The sequence below is a fragment of the Homo sapiens genome, chromosome 7 (genome assembly GCF_000001405.40).
Source record: "Homo sapiens chromosome 7, GRCh38.p14 Primary Assembly".
NCBI classification, from domain to species: domain Eukaryota; kingdom Metazoa; phylum Chordata; class Mammalia; order Primates; family Hominidae; genus Homo; species Homo sapiens.
The window spans coordinates 126,222,620-126,223,424 of NC_000007.14; the positions used below are offsets into that span (position 1 = coordinate 126,222,620).

The 805-nt window shown below is 46.6% G+C and overlaps 1 annotated feature.

The window, feature by feature from the left end:
- Positions 509 to 558: an enhancer, noted in NCBI's record as "active region_26574". NCBI's record gives its function as "activates an Ori minimal core promoter by ATAC-STARR-seq in GM12878 lymphoblastoid cells {active_cell/tissue: GM12878}" and the evidence as "EXISTENCE:reporter gene assay evidence [ECO:0000049][PMID:35858748]".

Here is an 805-nt window from a genome sequence, read left to right on the forward strand (position 1 = left end):
AGCCCACATGATCCAATCACCTCCCACCAGGTCCTTCCCTCAGTACATGGGGATTACAATTTGTGATGAGATTTGAGTGGGAACACAGAGCCAAACTATATAAGTAGCTTAATAGTCAACATTATGAATTCTTTATCTGCCAATTCACAGATTTCTTCTTGGCTTGGATCCATTGGTGGAGAGCTAGTGTGATCTTTTGGAGGTTTATAGAAACTTGTTTTGTCATATTACCAGAATTACTTTTTCTGGTTCCTTCTCATTTGGGTAGGGTGATTCAGTGAAAAGATCTGAAACTTAAGGGCTGCTGTTCAGATTATTTTGTCACATGGGGTGATCCCTTGACGTGGTGCTTTCCCCTTTCCCCGAGGTATGGGGCTTCCTGAGAACCAGACTGCAGTGATTATTACTGTCCTTCTGGTTCTAGCCACCCACTGGGGCTACCAGGCTCTGGGCTAGTGCTGGGGAATGTCTGCAGAGAGTCTTCGATGTGATCTGTCTTCAGTTCTCCCAGCCATGGATACCAGCACCTGCTCTGGTGGAGGTGGCAGGGGAGTGAAGTGGACTCTGTAGGAGTCCTTGGTTGTAGTTGTGTTTAGTGCTCTGGTTTTCTCAAATGCTGGACAAACTCAGGACCTCTGGTTAGCCAGGGTAATGCAGGCAGTGGAATTAGCTGTTTTTTTCTTCTTCTTTGGAGCAGGGTTGTTCTGTTATGAGTTGCTGTAATGGCTTGAGATGGTTGGCCTCCAGTCAGGAGGTGCTGCTTTCAAGAAAGCACCAGCAGCTGTGGTAGAAGAGGGATATAAGC